The following is a 24,168-nucleotide window of genomic DNA, read 5'->3' on the forward strand; positions in this document are numbered from 1 at the left end:
CCCTTGATGTTGTCCTAGTTCTTCTCTTAGATCATCGGAGGGTGGGACACCAGACCTTAGGGTGGTGTCTGAGATGCTGGACTGGATTCAGGGGTAAACGTAACTGGATTGCAGGCTATGTTACACCATTTTTGTGTTGCAATAAAGAAATACCTGAGGCTGGAGGCTGAGTGCAGTGGCTCATTCCTGTAATTCCAGCACTTTGGGAGGCTGAGGCGGGCGGATCACCCGAGGTCAGGAGTTCGAGATCAGCCTGGCCAACATGGCAAAACCCCATCTCTACTAAAAATACATAAATTAGCCAATAATGGTAGTATGCACCTGTGATCTCAGCTACTTGGGAGGCTAAAGCAAGAGAACAGCTTGAACCCAGGAGGTGGAAGTCTCAATGAGCCAAGATCATACCACTGCACTCCAGTCTGGGCCACAGAGCAAGACTCTGTCAAAAAAAAGAGAGAGAGAGAGAGAGAGAAAGAAAGAGAGAGAGAGAGAGAGAAAGAAAGATGGAAGGAAGGAAGGAAGAAAAGAAAAAGAAGAAAGAAAGAGAAACAAAGATGGAAGGAAGGAAGGAAGAAAAGAAAAAGGAAAGAAAGAAAGAAAGAGAAAGAAAGAAAGAAAGAAAGAAAGAAAGAAAGAAAGAAACAAATAAACAAACAAACAAACAAACAAAAACAAAGAAAGAAGGAAGGAAGGAAGGAAGGAAGAAGGAAGGAAGGAAGGAAGGAAGGAAGGAAGGAAGGAAGGAAGGAAGGAAAGAAAGAAAGAAAGAAAGAAAGAAAGAAAGAAAGAAAGAAAGAAAGAAAGAAAGAAAAATACCTGTGGCTGGGTAACTTATAAAGAGGTTTAATTGGCTTACGGTTCTGTAGGCTGTACAAGAAGGATGGTGCCAGCATGTGCCTCTGGTGAGGGCCTCAGAAAGCTTACAATCATGGCAGAAGGCAGAATGGGGAGCAGGCATCTCACAAGGTGAGAGCAGCAACAAGAGAGAGGGAGATGTGCCACACACTTTTAAACAACCAGATCTCAGGAGAACCCACTCACTATGATGAGGATGGTACCAAGTCATTCATGAGGAATCTGTCCCTATGACTTACACTCCTCCCACCAGGCCCCACCTTCAACATTAGGGGTGACATCTCTACATGAGATTTGGAGGGAGAAACATCCAAACTATATCACAGGCAGCCAAGCATTGACTCAAGAGAGACGGAAAAGTTAGCCCATGAACTTCAAGCTTGTGGTAATTAATAGAGTAGCTAATATTGGACTAACACCTATGCCCATAAAAATTATTAACTGTAGACAACATATATATTTTTTAAAACCTGTTTTAGGAACTTGGGGGTGGCCAAAGCAAGGAGAAACTAGAGAGGATATGATCTCATGAAGGAGAGTATATTGGCTTACTATAGCAGGTAGAGCAGTTTGGTAAACTGGGTATCTTAGTTCAGGCTGCCATAGCAAAGTGCCCTAGACTGGGTGGCTACAAATAACTGAAATTTATTTCTTGCTGTTCTGGGGGCTGGAAGTCTGAGATCAGGGTGCCAGCAGGGTTGGGTTCTGGTGAGGCCCTGCTTCCAGATTATAAAGTGCCAACTTCTAGTTGTATCCACACGTGGCAGAAAAGGGCATGAGAGGCCTCTAAGATCTCCTTAATAAGGGCTCTAATCCCAGTCATCCCAGTCATGAGGATCCACCCTCATGACCTAATTACCTCCCAAAGGTCCCACTTTCTAATTTCATCACACTGGGAGTTAAGATTTCAACATATACATTTGGGCAGGGGTGGGGGGACACAAATATTCAGCTCATAAAACTAGGTGACTTAAAGAGCAGAAATGTATTATGTCACAGTTTCAGAGGCTGGAAGTCCAAGATCAAGGTACTGACAGTATTGGTCCCTCTCAAGGCTGTAATGAAGTGTCTGCCCTATGCCTCTCCCCTAGCTTCTGGTGGTTTTCTGGCTTGCAGAAGCAACTCCAATTTCTGCCTTCATCTGCACATGGAGCTTTCCTTGTGCATGTGTCTCTGTGTCAAAATCTCCCACTTGTTCAGGACACCAGTCATACTGGGTTAGGTCCACCCTATGACCTCATTTTAATTTGATAACCTTGTAAAGTGTTTTTCTCCAATTAAGATCGCTTTCTGAGGTATGGGTTAAGACTTTAACATAAGAATTTTGGGGGACAAAATTCAACTCACAGCAGTAAACAAACTAGGTAAGATCCACATGTAATTGGTTTTTCCCCTGAAGGCATGCCCAGTCTGTATGACACATGGTACACAGAGATCAAGCAGAAAGCAACAGCCTTACTGGGCTGTCAATCACTGAAAGTCAGAGATCGGAATGTAGAGTTGTCTAAGTGGCTAGAAAATCACAGGTCATATCTCAGAAAAGAGTGAGCCATTTTCGGGGGAGGGACACAAAATATGCAAACACACTGCTCTCAGGATCCTGCCTCACTTCTGGACTGCTCATGGATTGAGTGAGGTACTAAGAAATCCAGAAAGCTGTAAACAGAAGGCTAAAATAGCTAAGAAGATATTTCATTAGCTGCCTCATGCTGAGGGAACAGAGTTCAGGGTTAAAACCTCACCAAAGTTAGAGATTTTTGGTAAACCCCAGAAGGCTTTCTACTGAAACGCAAGAAGGGCCAGACCTTAGGACTAGTGACAATATCTGAGCCTTAAACCTAGGGGAAAACTGAAACAGAGCCAACCCAGCAGAGCCTAAAATCAAACCTCCACAATTTGAGGTGATCTGCAGGAATTCAGTTGCTTTATAGAACAAAACCTAACACTCTTCAGAGTAAAAAAACAGAACCCAGGATCTCTAGATTATATCATCCATAATGCCCTATATATAATTAAATGTTACTGGAAATGCAAGAGAATACAAAAATATGACAAATCATCAAGAAAAAATAGTCGATAGAAATAGACCCAAAGACAACATGCATGATAGAATTAGCAGAACTTTTCAATAACTAGAAGAAAAAGCTGGGACTAAGATGAAATGAGTGAGGCACTTGCCTTGAGTGTAAAATTTAAGGAGGTGCCAGAAAAACTGGGCAATCAATATAATACAATAAGGCAGTATTTTAACAAATCAAAATTAATGCAAAAGAAATCCATGATGTACAAACTACCAAAATTTAAAATAAGGGCAAGATCAATAACGACGCTATACTAAGCCTTGCTGAAACTGGGGAAAAAAATCAATAACGCTGACCTTGTCTTCATTCAAAATTTTTGTCAGAAAAAATGACAAAATATTAGGAAAAAATTTTCCAAATACAAATAAGACAAACATAGATCCAAGAAGCTCAGCAAAACCCACCCAGAAAAGAAAATATAAAGAAAACCTCACTGAGATATATCAAAAATCAAAATGCTGAAACAATAAAGACAAAGGAAAAAAAAATCTCCAACAAAGCCCAAGAAGGCACATTCCATGGAGGAGAACAGCAACAAAAATAACAGCTGACTTCTCACCACAAACAATAGAGAACAGAAAACAACAGAAGCATATCTTTAAAATGCTGAAGGGAAAACAAAACAAAATGAAACTTCAATCTTGATTCTACATCCAGCGAAAATATCCTTCAAAACAAAAAGTAACGTAAAGGCATTTTCAGATCACTGAAAGTAGAAAGAATTCATTACCAACAGACCCACACCACAAGAAATGCTAACCGAAGTTATTTGGGCTCAATAGAAATTATGCGAGATGGAAATTTGGAAATACAGGAAGGAATGAAGAACGCTGAAAATTATCAATACATTCATGCATCACTTAATGATGGGGATATGTTTTGAGAAATGCATGAAATGGTTAGGCAATTGTGTCATTGCGAGAGCCTCAGAGAGTGTACTTACATAAACCTAGATGGTATAGCCTATTATACACCTAAGCAGTATGACATATCCTATTGCTCCTACACTACAAACCTATACGGTATGTTACTGTATTGAATACTGTAGCCAATTGTAACACAATGATAAGTGTTTGTGTATCTAAACCTATCTAAAGATAGACAAGGTACAGTAAAAATACAATATTACAATCTTATGGGACCACCATCATATATGCAATTCATAACTGTGTATGGATAAATTTTTTAATTATTTTTTTCTCAGAGTCTTTAAAAGAAAATGGACTGAAGTAATAAAAAAATATCCTGGTGTTTATAAAATATGTAGAATTAAATATGTGACAATAGAACAAAGAACATCATGTGGTAAATGGAATTATACTTTAATTTTGACATTAAACCAAGAATGGTATAACAATTTCAGAGAGACAGTGATTAAGTTAAAGAGGTACATTATAATCTCTAGTCAATAATTTTTTTTTTTTTTTAAGACAGAGTCTCACTCTGTCACCCAGGCTGGAGTGCGGTAGCATGATCTCGGCTCACTACAGTCTCTGCCTCCCAGGCTCAAGCGATTCTCATGCCTTAGCCTCCCGAGTAGCCTGTAGGCATATACCACCATGCCCGGCTAATTTCTTTTGTATTTTTAGTAGAGGTGGGGTTTCACCATGTTGGCCAGGCTGGTCTCAAACTCCTGACCTTAAGTGATCTGCCTGCCTCAACCTCCCAAAGTGCTGGACAATAAACTTTCAAAATATAGAGAGAGAGAGATGTAGCTATAATGCTAGGAGAAGATAGAATGAAATATTTTAAAATACTTTATTAACCCCAAAGGGGGCAGGAAAATGAGGCAGAAAAGCAGAGAACAAGTAAAACAAACAAACAAACAAATAACAAAAAGATGACTCTCAGTGCCCACCTAAGTAGTGGTCTGAGACAGACCAGAGTTTGAAATCTGGTTCCACCCCTTACCCTCTGAGTGAACTTTGTAAAGAGTCTGAACCTCTCAAAGCAGTTTCCTTATCAATAAATAATAGTACCTGCCTCCCAGGATTATTGTATGAAATATTTAAAACTGTGTCACTTAGCACAGCCCCTAGCCTTAATAAGCTATCAATAAGTAAACAGTGGAGACAACACAAAAGAATTCAGTAGAAAGATGAAGTCACATGAAAGATGAGGGGTAAAAATTATCTTTTTAAGACATTGCTCATTTGTTGATGGCTCTGTGAAACCTTTACCAAATTCTCCATGAAGAAATAATTGATTCATTCCCAGGACTCCCAGAGCATTTTTTATATAACTCCGTAATAGCACTTAATAAACTGAATTATATTTATTTTCTTTAATTAAACTTTTCATTTTCAGATCATTATGGATTCACATACAGTTGTAAGAATACAAAGAGATCTCAAGTACCTTTCACAAGGGAACAGTTCCTATCAATGGTAACATCTTTTATGAAACTACAGTACACTATCACAACCAGAATATTTTCATTGACACAATCAAGATACAGAACATTTCTATCCCCACAAGGATCCCTCGTGTTGCCCTGATATAGACACATCCACTTCCCTTAGCCCTTTGAACTACTCATTTGTTCTCCATTTCTGTAATTTTGTCATTACAATGATGTTGTAAAATGGACTCGTACAGTGTGTAACTTTTGGGGACTGTTTTTTATTCACTCAGCATAATTCTCTGAAGATGAATCCAAGTTGTTGCGTGTATCAGTAGATGTTCTTTTTTAGTGCTGAGTAGTATTCCATGTTGTGAATATGCCATAGTTTAATCATCTGTTGAAGGATATCTGGGTTGTTTCCAGTTTGGGACTATTACGAATAAAGTTGCTATGAACAAACATATACAGGTTTTTGCATGGACATAAATGTTCATTCTGGGATAAACGCCTAAAAGTACAAATCTTAGATTGTATAGTAGTTGCATGTTTGCTTTTTTAAGAAACTGCCATTGTGAATAGTGCCGCTATAAACATATGTGTGCATGTGTCTTTATAGCACCATGATTTATAATCCTTTGGGTATATACCCAGTAATGGGATGACTGGGTCAAATGGTGTTTCTAGTTCTAGATCCCTGAGGAATCACCACACTGACTTCCACAATGGTTGAACTAGTTTACAGTCCCACCAACAGTGTAAAAGTGTTCCTATTTCTCCACATCCTCTCCAGCACCTGTTTCCTGACTTTTTAATGATCACCATTCTAACTGGTGTGAGATGGTATTTCAATGTGGTTTTGATTTGCATTTCTCTGACGGCCAGTGATGATGAGCATTTTTTCATGTGTTTTTTGGCTGCATAAATGTCTTCTTTTGAGAAGTGTCTGTTCATATCCTTTGCCCACTTTTTGATGGGGTTGTTTGTTTTGTTCTTGTAAATTTGTTTGAGTTCATTGTAGATTCTGGATATTAGCCCTTTGTTAGATGAGTAGGTTGCAAAAATTTTCTCCCATTCTGTAGGTTGCCTGTTCACTCTGATGGTAGTTTCTTTTGCTGTGCAGAAGCTCTTTAGTTTAATTAGATCCCATTTGTCAATTTTGGCTTTTGTTGCCATTGCTTTTGGTGTTTTAGACATGAAGTCCTTGCCCATGCCTATGTCCTGAATGGTAGCAAAGACTTGGAACCAACCTAAATGTCCAAAAACGATAGACTGGATTAAGAAAATGTGGCACATATACACAATGGAATACTATGCAGCCATAAAAATGATGAGTTCATGTCCTTTCTAGGGACATGGATGAAACTGGAAAACATCATTCTCAGCAAACTATCACAAGGACAAAAAAACAAACACCGCATGTTCTCACTCATAGGTGGGAATTGAACAATGAGAACACATGGACACAGGAAGGGGAACATCACACACTGGGGACTCTTGTTGGAGGGGGAGGGGGGAGGGATAGCATTAGGAGATATACCTAATGCTAAATGATGAGTTAATGGGTGCAGCACACCAACATGGCACATGTATACATATGTAACAAACCTGCACGTTGTGCACATGTACCCTAAAACTTAAAGTATAATAATAATAAAATTTAAAAAAAAGAAACTGCCAAACATTTTTCCCAAGTGGCTGTACCATTTCACATTTCTACCAACAATGTATGAGTGAGCCAGTTTTCCTGCATTCTCATCAGCATTTGCTGTTGTCACTATTTTTTATTTTAGCCATTCTGATAAGTATGTAGTGACATCTCATCTCATTGTGGTTCTTATTTAGACTTTCCTAATGGCTAATAAAGTGGAACATCTTTTCATCTATTTTGATACGTATATCCTCCTGGTAAAACGCCTGCTCACATCTTTTGCCCATTTTTAATTGAATTGTATGGGGTTTTTTTTTACTATTGAGCTTTGAATTATTTCTGTATTATAGATACTAGTCTTTGTTATATGTATGCTTTCCATATATTTTCTCCCAGCCTGTAGCTTCTCTTTTTCATCCTTTTCATGGGGTCTGCTGCAGAGCAGTATTCCATTTTGATGAGGTTCAACTTATCAATATTTCCTTTTATAGATTGTGCTTTGGATGTCAAGTGTAAGAATTCTTTGCCTGGCTCTAGTTCCCAAATATTTTCTCCTATGATTTTTTTTAAATTTATTTGTTTTGAGATGGAATCTTGCTCTGTTGCCCAGGCTGGAGCGCAGTGGCGTGATCTCAGCTCACGGCAACCTCTGCCTCACGGGTTCCAGTGATTCTCCTGCCTCAGCCTCCTGAGTAGCTGGGATTACAGGAATGCACCATCACACTTGGCTAATTTTTGTATTTTTAGTAGAGACGGGGTTTCACCGTGTTGGTCAGGCTGGTCTCGAACTCCTGACCTCAAGATCCGCCTGCCTTGGCCTCCCAAAGTCCTAGGATTACAGGCATCAGCCACCGTGCCTGGCCTTAAGTTTTAAAATTTTAAATTTTACATTCAAATTCATAGTTCGTTTTGGGTTAATTTTTGTATAAAGGGTGAGATTTTTGTCTAGGTTTAGTTTTTTTTCCTATAGCTATCAAATTGTGCCAGCACCATTTGTTGAAAGGGTTATCCTTCCTCCATTGAATTGCTTTTGCGCTTTAGTCAAAAATCAGTTGGGCCTATTTATGGGGGTCTATTTCTGAGTTCTCTATTCTATCTATGAGTCCATCCCCCAACCAATACCACACAATCTTCATGACTGTGCCTATATAATACATCTTGAAATCAGACACATTAATTCCTCATATTTTATTCTTTTTTATTCAAACTTCTTTGGCTATTCTAGTTCTTTTGCATTTTCATATAAATTTTAGAATAATTTTGTGTATATTTACAAAACCCTTGCCAAAATTTTTATAGGAATTGCATTAAGCTTATATATCAATTTGGGGAGAATTGATATGTTTATTATGTTGAATCTTCCAATTCATGAACATGATATGTCTTTCCTTCGATTTAGATCTTTAATTAATTTCATTAGCATTTGTGCTTTTCAGCATATCAATCCTGTATATGTTTTCTTAGATTTACAACCTAAATATTACCTTTTGGGGGGATCAGAAATGGTATTTAATTTCTTATTTCAATGCCATTCCACAAATCCCTAGGGCATGGACACAATGCAGCCAAGTTTTTTGCTGTAGCATAACAAGGGTGACCTTTGTTCCAGTCCCTAGGAAATCCCTCGTTTTCATCTGAGACCTCGCCAGCATGAAACTTACTGTCCATATTTCTATCAGGATTTTGGTCACAGCCACTAAACGAATCTCCAAGAAGTTCCAAACTTTCCCTCTCTTATCTTCTTCTGAGCCCTCCAACTCTTCTAACCTCTGCACATTGTTCAGCTCCAAAGCCACTTCCACATTTTAGGTATCTTTACAGCAACACCCCACTCCTTGGCAGCAATTTTCTGTCTTAGTCCATTTTCTGTTGCTGTAAAGGAATACCAGAGGCTTGGTAATTTATAAAGAAAAGAGGTTCATTTGGCTTACAATTCTGCAGGCTGTACAAGAAGCAGAGCACCAGCATCTGCTTCTGGTGAGGGTTAAAGCCTGCTTCCAGTCATGGTGGAAGGGGAAGGAGAGCTGGTGTGTGCAGAGATCATGGGGCAGGAGAGGAAGCAAGGGAGAGCAGGGAGGTGACAGGTTCTTTTCAGCAACCAGTTCTCTCAAGAAACAATAAGAGTGATAACTCAGTCACTCCCGCTGCCCTAGGGAGGCCGTTAATCTATTCATGAGGGATCCATTACCATGACCCAAACGCCTCCCATTAGGCACCCGCACTCTGACACTGGGGATCAAATTTCAAGATGAGGTTTGGAGGGACAAACATCCAAACTATAGCAAGTAGTTGTTGTCCAAAAGTTTTCTGTCTTGTTAATTGTTCTCTTTCCCAGTCCTTTGGCTAGAATAAACAGGCTTTTGTTGGGTCTTTTTCTTTTTCTTGCACCTGTTGGCATTCTGAGTTGCCAGTTTCTTTATCTCCATGTCTGGGATATACAAGACCAAAAGAAAACCCAGGGAACTCATCATCATCCTGTCATTTCTTCTTTTCTTGATCTCTAGCAGTGTGCCTTTCTTCAACCTTTTAATGTCTCATTATTTTTCTTATGTACAGTATCCAGGATTTTTCATTGTACTTACTAGGGAGAATAGGGCAAAGTATATCTGCTCTATCCTCTCAGAAGTGTACTGAGCAAACTGCGCTTTGCTTTTTTTTTTCTTTCAGATGGCGTCTTACTCTGTCACCCAGGCTGGAGTGCAGTGGTGCAATCTCGGCTCACTGCAACCTCCGCTTCCCAGGTTCAAGGGATTCTCCTGCCTCAGCCTCCAGAGTAGCTGGGACTACAGGTGTGCTCCACCATGCCTGGCTTTTTTTTATTATTATTTTTAGTAGAGATGGGATTTCGCCATGTTAGCCATGCTGGTCTCAAACTCCTGACCTAAGGTGATACACCCACCTCAGCCTCCCAAAATGCTGGGATTACAAGCATGAGCCACTGTGTCCAGGCGGCACTTTGCTTTTAAACAATTTTCTCATCCACCAAAATGTTTTGAGAGCCAGAAGCAAACTTTATTCATTTTAATTTCTTCAGCACCTAGCAGAGAGCTTGTGTCCAATATACACCTGTTGAATGAATATTGTGCCAAAGCACGTGTGCAGAATCCTGTGTAGTACCCAGCTTCTTCCACTCTACATTATAGCCTCTCAAATACTGAGACTGTGTCTGTAATTTACTTGGACCCTGAGCTTTCCTCATTTTGTGCCCAGGGCTTGCACTCTGGTTTGACTGTGTGCTGTACTGAAGGCCTACTATGGGGGATGAAGACCATAGACAACTCAAGACCGAAGCCAACAGTTCTAAAGAGGGCTTGACACCTGGTATAGAGGTGGTAGAAAGTTCCCAGTGAAGAAAACACCAGAAAGTTTTCAGAGTGATTGTGCCTGAAAGTTTTCATTTCATCTCCCCATATGCTACCACCCCCAAAGCTGTTAGGCTGGAATCAGAGAAAACAAAGCAGAAGAGCTTTTGGGATTTGCCAAATTGAAACAAAATTGCATCTCATTAAAATGTGCACACGTACTCACACATAGCATACCCAATTCATGGGTTACATGAATTCCCAGATCACTGGGTAATTTATTTGGTTCCTATTCCTGCACTGTTGAGAGGCACTGAAGTACAAACCAGCAAACATAAATAATCAACAGCTTTAGTGCCTTTATCAATCATAAACGTTGTGCTCAGTCCCTCAGGAGAGGATTGTAATTACATTCTCCATTCACGGTTTGGGTTGCTCAGTCCCTATGTGTGGAACTTGAAGGCCAGCCTCACTCTCTCCATGATATTATTCAAAGACACAGATGCCAGACTGTGCCACTTTTTAACCAAGAGAAGTCAGTCTCACACTCTCCTGTCCTTCAGAGAAATAGATATGGCTAAACCAGGTTTGTACAATAGAAATATAATGTAGGCAATGTAGGAAATTTTTAACATTTTAGTAGTCACATTTTTAAAAAGTAAAAAGAAATAGATGAAATTAATTTTATAATACATGTTTATTACCCATATCCAAAATACTATCATTTCACTATGTAATCAATATTTTTAAAAATATTTATTATAAGTCTTCAAAATCCAGTATGTATTTTACATTTATGGCTCATCTCATTTGAGACAACCACATTTCAAGCTTTCAACAACTACACATGGCTAGTGGCTGCCATATTGGACAGTGCAGATCTAAACCATGAGCAAGGAAAGAACGAATGAGTGAATAAGAGTCAGCAAGTGAGTGAATGAATGAATGAGTGAATAAAAGATTCAGCAAGTGAGTGAATGAATGAGTGAATAAAAAAGTGAACAAGTGAGTAAATGAACGAGTGAGTGAATGACTTAGTGACCGAATGACTTAGTGACTGAGTGAATGAATGAATGAGTAAATGAGTTAGTAAGTGAATTAATGAATGAATGAGTGAATAAAAGATTCAGCGAGTGAGTGAATAAATGAGTGGGTGAGTGAATAAATGAATGAGTGAATGAATGAGAGAGTGAATAAAAGAGTCAGCAAGTAAGTAAATGAATGAGTGAGTGAGTGAATGAATTAGTGACTGAAAGAGTGAACAAATGAGTTAGTGAGTGAATGAGTCTGTGAGCGAGTGAATGAATGAGTGAATAAAAGTTAGCAAGTAAGTGAATGAATAAATAAATGAATTAGTGAGTGAATGAATAAATGAGTTAGTGAGTGAAGGAATAAGTGAATAAATGAGTGAATGAATGAATGAGTGAATAAATGTTAGTGAGTGAGTGAATTAATGAATAAATTCATGAATGAATGCATGAGTGAGTGAATAAGTAAAGGAATAAATGAGTGGAAGAATGCATGAGTGAGTGAACACATGAATGACAGAGTGAGTAAAAGACTCTGAGGCTCCTGGCCAGCCCCTCACATCAATCACATATGCCGGCTGGAGATATCAGGCAAGAGCTAGAAACTTCACAATTATTACCCGTATAAAAATGTCCTACCTTACACTTGTACAACAGCAATTTATGCCTTCCCCAAGCTCTGTCACACACACCCTTTGGTCCTCATGACACTCCTGTGAAGTGGGTAGGAGTCAGCAGCAGTCCCAGGATCCCAGCCCTGGCAGACAGCCCCACTCCCACTCTGCTGCCCTCTCAGCTATGGGCCAAGAGAAACGCACCAGAACCACACCCATGAAGACCATGTGCTGGTAAAACTCCCCGCTCGGGTCTCTTCGGCAGAAGCTGCTCACCTCCACTGACTGCATTTTAGGCTCTCCCATGTCTTTGCTTACTTGGAGAGAGACCCCTGGTCTATACTCCAAAGGCAGCCAGTTGCTATGTGTTGTGGAGGAACCACCTGCCTGGAGCAGGTAACCATTCCCAGCCCTGTGCTGCACTGTATAGTTTCCCAAGGACTTCCACACACATCTCCATCTCCTCCACTCCCAGAACCAGGCCAACCCAGCCCAGCTGTACAAGCATAAGGCTCAGTCTGGAAGGCCAATTCCAGGAAGGTTCTCAGAACCTGGGATGGAGTCAGGAAGGATGTTGTATCCAGATCATAGGTGAAGGCCAGTGAGTGTTGGCATGCACACAAGTCCATGATCCCAAAACTCATGCATTTGTAAAGAAATGGACAAAGACCAAATCAGAAGGGAGAACAGAACAAGATGCAGCTGGAGGGGAAGGCAGGCCTGGAAAGTAAAATTAGTCCTAGAAATCCTATAGAGATAAAAAGCAGATTACTGGTTGCCATGGGCTGGCGGCAGGAAGAATGGAGAGTGACTGCTTAAGGGGCATGGGGCTTCCGTTTTGGTGCTGAAAATGTTTTGAAACTAGACGGTGGTGATGATCGCACAGCACTGTGAATATAATAAGTGCCACTGAATTTTACTCTTTAATAAGGGTCAAAATAGCAGACTTTGTGTTAGGAGTATTTCAACACAATTAAAAAAGAAAAAATAGTGCTGGAACTCCAGCCAAGTCTCCTCACTCAAGCCCAGCTCTCCTTCCCCAGCAGCTGTGGCTCACACAACCCAGCACAAACTCTTCCCCAAGGGTTGAGAACATCTTTTAAGGACAGTCAAAAACAGACAACCCCAAAATGCCCCACCCTGTCTGCAGAGTAGAACACTCAATGAACATCAGTGCTGTGCGGCCAAAGAGCCTGAGAATTACAAATGGTCACATCTGGAAGATTCTATTCTGCCCAGAGCAGCAAGGAGCTTGTTTACTGGGTGAGTGTCAAATTAAGGGTAACACTCTAAAATACTGAACTCCACTCTTCAGCTCATTAGGGAACTTTAATCTTTGAAATTTGTAAACCCTTCTTGAGGTTATTTATATGTTCCACCTGTGCAATATCTATTGGAGATAGAGAGTTGCAGGAATTTAATACTACTCATTGAGTAAAGTAGGTTCCCTTCAGTTCTCCTAAAATTATCTCCTGTCAAGTTTTATGGGGATGCAGGAGAAGGAGGGATTTAGGACTAAGATGTTAGGATTTTGACATACACTCCATCTTTCATAACTGAAAATGTTTCATCCCATCCTCTGCCAGTCTTGATCTTTCCAGAGTTAAGAATCCCAATTGCTGTCCCATCACTCTTGATCATTAGTAGCCTTTCCTACCACTTGTATATGTTTCTCCTCTCTCTTTCTCTCTCTCTCTCTCTCTCTCTCTCTCTCTGCAGGGGGAGTAATTAGAATGTCTTGAGATATTAGAAAAAGAGATAGAAGCAGCAGCATCTACGATTACCGAATCTGCTCTCTGCTTGGCCAGCAGATTCATAAAGGAATTGGAGACTCACATCCTCTTCCTGGTCCTGTCAGCTCCCAGGCACCACATGACCCAGCTCCTGCCTTGCTCTCCAGCCTCATCTCCATCACTCTGCTCGTTGCTTGCAATGCTCCAGGTGTCCTGGCTTCTTTCACCTTTCAAATGTGTCCAGAATCTTTGAACCACAGAGCTCTAGACATGCTCCCCACTTCACAGAAGCAAAGCTGTGCCTGTTACAGAGAAAATGTGCACAATGTAACATCTAAAATCCTGACCACATTCTGGGCTCTGGGAATTCACAGATGAACGAAACACAGTCTCTGCCCTCAAGGAACTCTCAATCTAGTGGCAAAGACAAGAAAGTAAAGCAATGATCACAACAGCAAGCACCACTGCAGTCCAATGCTGCACTGGAAGGACAGCATATTTGGGCGGCACAGAGGAGAGTCATGGGATCCAGGTCAGGGGCATCAAGAAAGGCTTCCTAGAGGAGGTGATATCTGGCATGAGCTTTGAAGGCCGAGTAGGGGCTCTCTACTGGTGGAGGAGACCCCTTCCAGGTAGAACAAACTGCATGGGCAGAAGCACTGAGGAATGAGAGTGGTCCAGGAGCCGAGAGTAAGTGGACCAAGATGAGTTTAGGGGGAATGGAATGAGGGAACTCAAGCAGCCAGGTCTTTTCAGAGCTTCCCCAGTGCCAAGACAAGAGCAAGTGGGAACACCAGGGCACCTGCCTCCAAGAGTCTGGAGCTGACAAATGGAGCTGCTGCTATTAACACTGTGGGCTGAGATGCCTTCTCTCATCTCCTTCCTGTGGAGCAAATATGCCTTTGTCATCCAGGTCCTGAAGGCAGTCAACACTAAATACCCACTTATTAGAGACCTGCAATGTGCCAGACATGAAGCTGAGTGCTGGAGAAGATAAAAAGAAAATATTTCATGGCAGCTTACATGCGACACATTCACACACATGCACACACACATGCACATGCACACTCACGTTCAGGTTCACACACACGCACACTTACATCATACCGGAGAGCAGCCTCAACCTCACCTTCAAAACTGACAAGCTGTCCCCTGCTAATGAGAGCCAAAAGCCACAACTCCTCCTGCTCCAAGTCCCCCACTCACTCCAATACCTCCTTAAAGATGCCTCAAGATCCATTAACCCAGACAGAAATTTCCATTTTACTATGAGAAGAAAGGTTTCAACTACAACCACGTGGGAGAGTCAACATCTCACCTGAACACCTCTCACCCTGTGGTGTCAGTGAGCAAATAAATAACTTTATGGTTAAGTGTGGGTCCAACTCTCTAATCAGGCTGTACATACCTGGAAGGCAAATCCTCTTAGCCCCCAGTTCCAATTTTAGACACTGTCACCCATGTGTCTTGGATAAGTGAGACTGTGGTTCGGTGTGCCCCACTCTGCCTTTCTCATTGTCTTCCTGGGTTGCTGGCAGCCCTCAGTGTCAGACCCCCATGGTCACCACCACTGTGAAGGCTCTCTCAGACTCCCTTGATGGTACCAGAGCACCTTGCACAGGCCCCTGCATAGCAGAGGTCCCATCTTATCACTCTTGCTGATGTTTCCCTCCTAGACAGGGCACTCCTCAAAGGCAGGGGCTCTGTTTCATTCATTTCTCTCTCCCCACAACATCAAACACCATGCCAGGTGCATTAGTACATTTTCACGCTGCTGATAAAGACTGGAGAATTTATAAAGAAAATGAGGCTTAATGGACTCACAGTTCCACGGGGCGGGGGAGGCCTCACAGTCATGTAAGGGAAACCCATTATAAAACCATCAGATCTCATGAGACTTATTCACAACCACAAGAACAGTATGGGGAAAACCACCCCCATGATTCAGTTACCTCCACGGGGGTCCCTCCAACACATGGGAATTATGAGAGCTACAATTCAAGATGAGATTTGGGTGGGGACAGAGCCAAACCATATCACCAGGCACATGGCAAAAACTAGATTTTACAATGTAAGATAAATGAATCACGGAAGTCAAAGGCGTATGGTTTCTAGCTCATGGAAAAGTTGCTGTAATGTATAGTCCAGTTCCCCAATTGCCCCTGCGCCCGTAAATCACAGTCGGCACTTTTGTTGTAGCTCTGTTAGACAGCACGATTCCTAAAGATGGTAATCTCTGGTGACAGATGGGTTGGTTCACTGAACTGCCTCATACAATGCCACCTTCCTCCAGCAGCAACGAGACCCTGGGCATGACCACATTGCATCAGACCCTGGAGCATGTAGCCCACTGCTATCTCCAGCAATAGCCTCAAGGGCTGGTGCCACATAGAGAAGCACATGGGGCAATTTGCTGCATTATCCAGAGGGCAGGGCCCCTGCCTGTGCTGCCACCAACAGCCACAAGCATCTGCTGTTCTCCTGCATTAGACCAAGGACCAGCACCTGCTAATTCCCCATCTGGCCATCCCAGGACAGAGCTTAAAAGTAAGACAAAGAGTGCAAGTTCAACAGCAAGATGTCATTAGCCCACTTTTCCTGTTTTCTTCTTCAAAGTAAAACTAAATACTCCGCAAATAATTCAACAGACAATCACAAAAGAACGCTTAAAGGTGGGGAGAGGGTCACATAAGGACCTCAAGACCTAAAAAATGATACTGCAGCAAGTCCCCTGAGTTTTTTTATCCCCTGCACATGCCAGCCTGGGTACTGGAGAGCCCTGCAAGCGGAACCACCAAGTATGGACAGAAGATTTAAAAAGAAAGGAAACAGGGGCCAGGCATGGTGCCTCACGCCTGTAATCCCAGCACTGTGGGGGCCAAGGCAGGCAGATCACTTAAGATCAGGAGTTAAAGACCAGCCTGGCCAACATGGTGAAATCCTGTGTCTACTAAAAATACAAAAATTAGCTGATCATAGTGGTGCATGCCTGTAATCCCAGCTACTCGGGAGGCTGAGGCAGGAGAATCACTTGAACCCAGGAGGCGGAGATTGTGATGAGCCGAGATTGCACCACTGTACTCCAGCCTGGGCTACAGAGTGAGATTCCATCAAGAAAGAAAGAAAGGAAGAAAGAGAGAAAGAAAGAGAGGAGGGAAGGAAGGAAAGAAGGAAGGAAGGAAGGAAGGAAGGAAGGAAGGAAGGAAGGAAGGAAGAAGGGAAGGAAGGAAGGAAGGAAGGAAGGGAAACAAACAGGAGCTGTGAGGGGGGAAGCCCCAGGAGACTTGTCAGGAAAACCCACATCACGTGGCAATGGTGCCCAACCTACCCACAGCAGCTTCATCAGCACGGCCCAAGCAGCCCAGCCCATCACTCCCCCATTGGGCAAGCTTGGTCACTGTCTACCCACCTCCCACCCCACTGAAATGCTGCACCTCAATCCCCTTGCAGGCCTGTGCTGCCCTCTACTACCTGCTGGAGTTCCAGGGTTCGTTCCACACTCCTCTCGGGTCAGAGTCCAGGCTGTTCCAACTGCTCTGCTGCAATGCACCTCCCTGCTCTGGGTACCTCTTGGAGCCTTTGGGAGTGCCCATGCTGCAGCTGCCACCTACTCTTATTCCATCCCAGATTATCAAGATATTAGGTTGATGCAAAAGTAATTACAGTTTTGCCATTACTTTTAATGGTAAAAACAGCAATTACTTTTGCACCAACCCAATACCTTTCTTCTTAGTGACACTCTTTTGCAGGGGTCCCCCAATTAGAGAATTTGAGGAAACACCCCAAAGCTGCTCCCTCCCCAACATATACACATACCACCCCCCCGCCCAATATGGTTTGACTACGTCTCCACCCAAATGTCGAATTGTAGCTCCCATAATTCCCATGTGTCGTGGGAGGGACCCGGTGGGAGGTAATTGAATCATGGGGGCGGGTCTTTCCTGTGCTGTTCTTATGATAGTAAATAAGTCTCATGAGATCTGATGGGTTTATAAAGGGGAGTTCCCCTGCACATGCGCTCTTGCCTGCCACCATGTGAGTCATGACTTTCATCTTCCCCCATGATTGTGAGGCCTCTTCAGCCACATGGAACTGTGAGTCCATTAAACCTCTTTTTCTTTATAAATTACTCCGTCTTGGGTATGTCTTTTTAGCAGCATGAGAACAGACTAATACAGAAATAGGGTTGAGGGCTCACAAATAATAGCTCCTACACTCACCAAATCACTCCACAGGTCCCTGAGCCTTGAGTCTGCCTCTGAGTGCCTTCCTGGGATTCTGCCAGCCAGGGTCTCTTTTACGCAGCTTCACTTCCCACCTGGTAGTTTGGCCTCTGCTTCCCAATGCCCGCTTTCAGTTTACCTGACATATCTGATCATGTCTAAACCCCAAATTTAGACATGGCTGGAGCGTCTTCCCCCACAGGAAGTTTTTAGCCACCATTCACGTCAGTGGATGCACATTTGATTTGCAGGGTTGTCCTGCAAATAGTCCACATGCAAAAATAAATCACAATATCACCTACTGGCTACCCTGGACTTCTGCTACACATTTTGCTTAGATGAGTTTCTTCATATATAACTCCCACGTTTCCCATAGAAAATTAGTCTGGCCCTTTAAAAAGGAAACTTGCAAAGTCAATTCACCAGTCCCAGCTTAAGGAACTCTTTGGAATCAATAGGAACAGAGTAGCACCAGCCCGGGATGGCAGGGCAGAGGGGATCCAGAGAAGATGCCTGCCCTCCGCAGGAAGCCACAGGGGGAGATTTGCTCCAGCTCACAATTTGAAAGTCTTCGTTCTGAGGAATTTAATTATAGCTAATAGCGAGGATTAATTGCTTTGTACTGTCTTAGTATAAATAAATACTTTCTTCATTTGTCTTTATGCTGCTGTTTCAATCCCAAGGCCCAAGTTCACATGAGTGTATTAGATAGATATGCTCTACCCAGTTCACCCCAGGTGGCTTAAACTAGATAAAGCAAGACCAGAAAACTCAAGGAGGCTGCTCCTGCCCCTGAATGCTGATGGGTAGCCAGTGACCTCATGTGGAAAGGTCTTGGACTGCTTACACATATTGTCGTAGGCTTACGGGTTTCACAAACATCACTAAACCCTGTGTGTGGTAGAATCTCCTTTTGTTTGTCCTACAACTATAAGGCAATGTTTCCCAATGTGCAATCCACAGTCTTCCTGCAACAAAAATCATCCTGGGTTCTTGTTAAAAAGGAATATTTCTGGGTGCTACTGAGACCTTCTGAATCAGCATCTCTGGGGGTGTGGCCAGGATGTGACATTTTAAATAAGCTCCCCCAGATATTCTAAGTGTTGGTCTATACTCTTAGTAATTTTTGACTTATGCTGTCCTTCTTACAAGATCATGATGGTGATGATGATGTTGATGATGATGGAGGAAATGGGGAGGATGATGGTGGTGGTGGTGATGGAAGATACAATAAAATTCCTTCGTATGTCCTTGGTTCTCGACCATTTACAGAGCTCTTTATTGCATTTAGTTCTCACAGAGATTTCATTGTTACAATCCCATTTACAGATGAGGGAGGAGCTGAGATTTACAGAGAGGTTAGAAGACTTCTGAAGCTCAGCAAAGCATTTACTCTGGGTTGTTTTCCTGAAATGACAGACTTATAGGAATCAACTTACTCTTATCCTGTCCCACCCCCTAAAAACCACAAGCTAGAGGTGCCAGGCCAGACCTGACTGGGTCTCAGGTTAGGCCCAGAGAATCATTCTTCTGAAGGACTACACACATGACCCTCAGGCATGTTCTATGCAGCCTGGAAGACTCCAAACTCCTGAGCCAACTGCTACTTACCTGGTAAAGGCCTGTAAGCCTCCTCACCCCACATACTCATCAGAAAAACTGCATGACAGTCAGAACTGGTGTTATTTGTGACTGTGCCTCTGCCACCTAATGTGTGTCCCTGGCAAGTCACCTAACTAAACCTCATCTCCTGTAAAATGATAGGTTAATAAGATTAAGTGGAAATAATGCTATTGAACGTTCTTTGCAATTGTAAAGTGCATAAACGTGACTCTTATTGTTAATATCATTACAATCTTTTGAGTTTCATGTTCAGACCTCCTTCCATGTTCTTCCTCCTTCCATCTCTCTCCACCCTCTCCCTGGCCTGGTCATCACCATGTTTGCCCAAGCTGGGAGCCAAGGGTCCAGCACCTCAGCAAAGAATGGCTCACAGTAATTCAAAAGCTGTTTTTCCTCCGCATGTTTTAGCAGTCCAGAAAGGCAAGTCACAGCCATAAATTGTGTACAGAAAGGACAGCATGTCACCAAAGGGGCCATTACCTCCTTAGAAGTCAAGCAACATAGATTAGAATGAAAATTATTTGGGATCTTCATCAGTCGGCTGAAATTGTTCAAGGCTCAGCAATTCACTGAGGTTTGCCACTGGGTCATTGATTTTAGTAGTGTGTGTATATGTGTGTGTTTGTGTGTGTGTGTGCGTGCGTATGCACATGCTCCATCTTTCATTGTGGCTCAAAACAGGAAAGAACAACAGAGACCATTACAAGTTCTGTGGGCCTGAGATTGCTCTGAAGATCTGGGTCTGGTGGTTCTCAGCCTGATTTAGTCTAGCAGAGTCCTCCTGGGGACACAAGGAGGTCTCCACAAGGCAGAAGGCCATGGAGGGAGAAGGCTCCATATGAGACTTCTGAGAAACACCTGCTCAGAACACAGAAAAACTATAGGCAAGGACAGGACAACCTAGAAGCCAAGGACACCATTACAGATGAGGCTTCAGATTCAGCACCACGGAGCTCAGTGTACTCACCCCAGGTCTCAGTGGAACCCGGAAGCACAAGAGCAGCCATGGCCCTACCTGACCCAAGATCTAGTTGTCCAGTCCTGTGTGTTGGACTCCTGGGTCAGAACAGTCATGTAAAAGGAAGAACAAGAATAAAACCACATGCTGATCAAGTGCTCACTATGTGCCAGGCACTGTGCTAAGTATTTCACGTGCATTATCTCATTTGATCCTACAAAACCCCTAGGAACTAAATTCTAGTATTAATATTATCCCCAGTTAATAGATAAGCAAACTGATTAAGTGCCCACTGGTTAAGGGCCTTACTCAAGATCACAGAACCCATCATGGGGAAGCCACAATGCATACTCAAGTCTTCCTCCAGAACCACACACTTCACTGAGTTCTGCACTCAGCCCTTTACGCAGGCCCTGGCCCAGAGGTTAAAAACTCAAGTTCTGGGGCTGGACTACCTGGTTCAATGCTCTGCTCTGCTATTCACTACCTATGCACTTTCACCTCTTTGGACTCTGTTTTTCTAGTTATAAAATAGGTATAATCCATATCATAGAGCTTTGAATGAATCAATATATGCAAAGTCCTTCTTAGAGAACGTACAAGTGTTCAGTAAGTGAGCATTTAAAACTGAGTTGATTTTAAGGAGGCCAAAAAGCCAAACAGGAGCAATGAGGCAACCCAGAGATTAGCAATGGCAAACTACCACTTACATCCCTATGCTGCTGGGACAAAGGAGGCCTCTGGATTGAGGGACCCAGGAGCCTGGTCACCTGGCAGACCTGCTTACTGGGTGCCAGAAACCTAGAATTGCAGCCAGTTCTGGAAATGCTGTCCAAGGCAGAGAAGGAGAAATGCCCTGGCTTCTTCCTCCCAGCTCCCAGCTCCTGCCAGTCTCCCATAGGCTGAGACCAGCTGGAAACCTGCTGACCCAGGGGCTGGAAGACACAGCCTATGAGAGTTAGGCCCTGCCAAGCAGAGCAGCGTGGGGCCAGGGCATAGAGTGAGTCAGAAAACAGCAGGCTTGGAATGGGCATGACCTGTCTTAAGGACAAAATCCAAACTCCTTAGCATGGCCTGTACAGCCCGGGCTGTGGCACCCCGCCAACCGTGCCTCTCTATGCTGTGGCATCCCAGAGCCCAGTTCCTGCCTGCCTCGGGGGCTCCATGCATGCCTCTACCTATCCTGTTTCTCGCACTCCTAGTTCCACTCATCCCTACTCATTCTTCAAGTCTTTAAATGTCACTTCCTCTGAGGGGCCTGTTCTCTGCTATCTAGAATAGGACCCCCCTCTCAGTAATTTCAAACTCAGCACTCTCTTTTTTCCCTTCATAGCATTTTTACCCTTCACTTTTCCCAAAACCTAGCACAGGGCCTGGTACAGAACAGGCGTCAACACCTGCTTGTTGAGTGAGTGCATGAATATGCTGATCAGCCTTCATTCACCAGGCCAGACGAATGCTCAGAAGAGCCAGCCACAGGGCCAGCTTCCCAGAGGTCCCAGGCCCCTGGACTCCTCACTGCCTCTTCTAAATGCCCAAGAGCACAGCTCTACCTTGGGTCACTCAAAAACTGCTGCCACTCCCAAGAAATTCTGGCTGTAGGCCAAGGGCAGGATCACCTGGGTAGGACCTTCCCCCTCGGCTCATTCCACCCCTCACTCCCTCATTTACCCCCAACCACTCACCACGGTCCAAAGGAAAACCCTTGGATCCATCACCTCGGGAGTGCCCCCAGGCCTTCTCTCTTACCTTATATAGAATGTACCCTGGGTCTTCTTGTGGTCAGGATCATATTCAGCTTTGGAATCTCTTGTGGTCATTTGAAATCTTTGGGGTTCCTAGGGGTACAGACTAGAGCTCTTGGGGTCCCCAGGGTCTCTTTTCCCATAAAAATAGGAGGAGAGAGTAAGAAGAGAGAAAGGCAGGTGAGGGCAGCTGCCAGCTTACAGAGGAGAAGGAGGGATGGGGAGGGAGAGCGCGTACAGGCCAGGGAAAGTTGGAACAGCCTGTAAGTAGGCCAGAAGGGTCTGGGCTGAGCCTGTGATTAGCACCACTAATCATTTCACCAGCTCAAAATAAGTTCTCTCCTCTGAGACCATCCTCCCAGGGTCAGCCCAAGCTCCTGATTAACCCAGGTTGCTGCTGTTCTGCTGCGAGAGAAAATAACCCATGGGAGGGCTGGAGGAGTCCGGGAATCTGAGGTCCCCAAAGGTCATTCCCCCAGCCTCCCAGCACACCACCCCTAACCCCCAGCATAGGAGCACGCTCTCAGGGCCACCAAGCCTCCTACTCTCTGGTGGGGTGCCCGGCCACAGGGTTAGTTCAGGCCCCCTCCCACACAGAGGAGCCCAGCCAGCAAGATAGGTAATTGGCAGGGCTTGGGGCCAGCCCCGGGGGGATAGTGATCTGGGAGAATATCCTGTCTTCCGGATTGTCACCCTCACTTATCCTCAGGGTGCTGCAACCCCCAGAGTGCTCTCTGGGACTGATCTCACATCTGCTCCCAGAACAGTATCTGAAGTGATTAAAACCACACAGCCCCTCCATTCACACTCCTGTCGTCTCTCAGCTGGCCACCTGTCGGGCCACCAGACCAGATAGCCACTTTCCCTTCTCCTCTAAGGACTCTTGTTCGACATGGTTGTTTGGAAAGGGGGGCCTGTGGGTGCAGAGACCCGGAATTACAGCAGCAGTTAATTGCCTAGGTAGCAGCCTGGCCGAGGCAGGGGACGTGTCTGCTCAGAAGCCAACTCAGGTTCTCTGCTGAAGGTCATTAGGAGGAGGTAGAACTTCAACGTCTTCATCCCACAAGGCCACATGGAAGATGACAAGTTGGCTGGCCTGAGCATAGCACAGCTTCAGATGCAGCAGTGGGCCTCTGCGGGGACCTTGGGGCACACTCCTCTCTCTGAGTGCCATCTTCACCTGACAGGCACTATTAATTGGCAGCTGTGAGAATGCAGTGGAAGGACCAGTTCCAAAGACATGTTCCTTAACCTGGAAGCCCCACACACCCTCCTGCCACTCAGCCTTATCCTGCCTGGACTTCAGGGCCCATGTCCAGTCCCACCCTCTCCACAGACCCTGTCCTGACTATACTACACAAGCCTACAGGGCCATTTATCCACCAGGAGGTAGGCTGTGCCTTTAAAAATGTGGGTAAGGGAGGTAGTTATATGCTGGAGAAATGGCAGACAGTGTCAAGCAAGTTTATGGCAAGGACCAAACAGAGTGTCCGAATTGCCTCTGCCCCAAAGAGGTGATAAGTACATGGCCCAGGCCTTCAGTGGGAGTGGGGGTTGATGCTTCTAACATGCAGCTGGGGAATAGGGATGTGGGAAAGTGCTACAGGCAGGTCCATGGTCCCAAAGGAGCCATCCACAGGCAGGTTACAAAATTCCTACAAGGCCAATAAAGGAAAAGCCAGCAGGAACCCTAGGGACTTCAGGGAGCTGCTTTATGAGGCCCTTTAGAGTGGGCCACCCAAAAGCCAGGCCTAGAGGAAAGGCCAGGGCAAAAAAGCAGGCAACAGAACCACTTCCCCATCTGCTTCTGTGGCCCCAGGTGAGGTCATGCTCTGAACCCTTAAAGGATATGCAGAGAAGACGCGAAAGAGCCCAAAATCGGGTGGGCTAGAAATTGACAGGCCAGAAGACCCCAAAGCCAGGCAGAGTGGATCCTGGCTGTGGGCAAGAGCCAATGCCCTCTGTCCCCTTCTCCCAACCCACCCCAGGGAACTTGGGCAGAGAGCATCAGCCA

At 44.0% G+C, this 24,168-nt stretch overlaps 2 annotated features.

The window, feature by feature from the left end:
• Positions 16,427-16,928: an enhancer, noted in NCBI's record as "H3K4me1 hESC enhancer chr8:21406697-21407198 (GRCh37/hg19 assembly coordinates)". NCBI's record gives its function as "activates a minimal SCP1, AML or CMV promoter by ChIP-STARR-seq in primed H9 embryonic stem cells {active_cell/tissue: H9 hESC(primed)}" and the evidence as "EXISTENCE:reporter gene assay evidence [ECO:0000049][PMID:30033119]".
• Positions 16,929-17,428: an enhancer, noted in NCBI's record as "H3K4me1 hESC enhancer chr8:21407199-21407698 (GRCh37/hg19 assembly coordinates)". NCBI's record gives its function as "activates a minimal SCP1, AML or CMV promoter by ChIP-STARR-seq in primed H9 embryonic stem cells {active_cell/tissue: H9 hESC(primed)}" and the evidence as "EXISTENCE:reporter gene assay evidence [ECO:0000049][PMID:30033119]".

Source organism: Homo sapiens, chromosome 8 (genome assembly GCF_000001405.40).
Source record: "Homo sapiens chromosome 8, GRCh38.p14 Primary Assembly".
NCBI classification, from domain to species: Eukaryota; Metazoa; Chordata; class Mammalia; order Primates; family Hominidae; genus Homo; species Homo sapiens.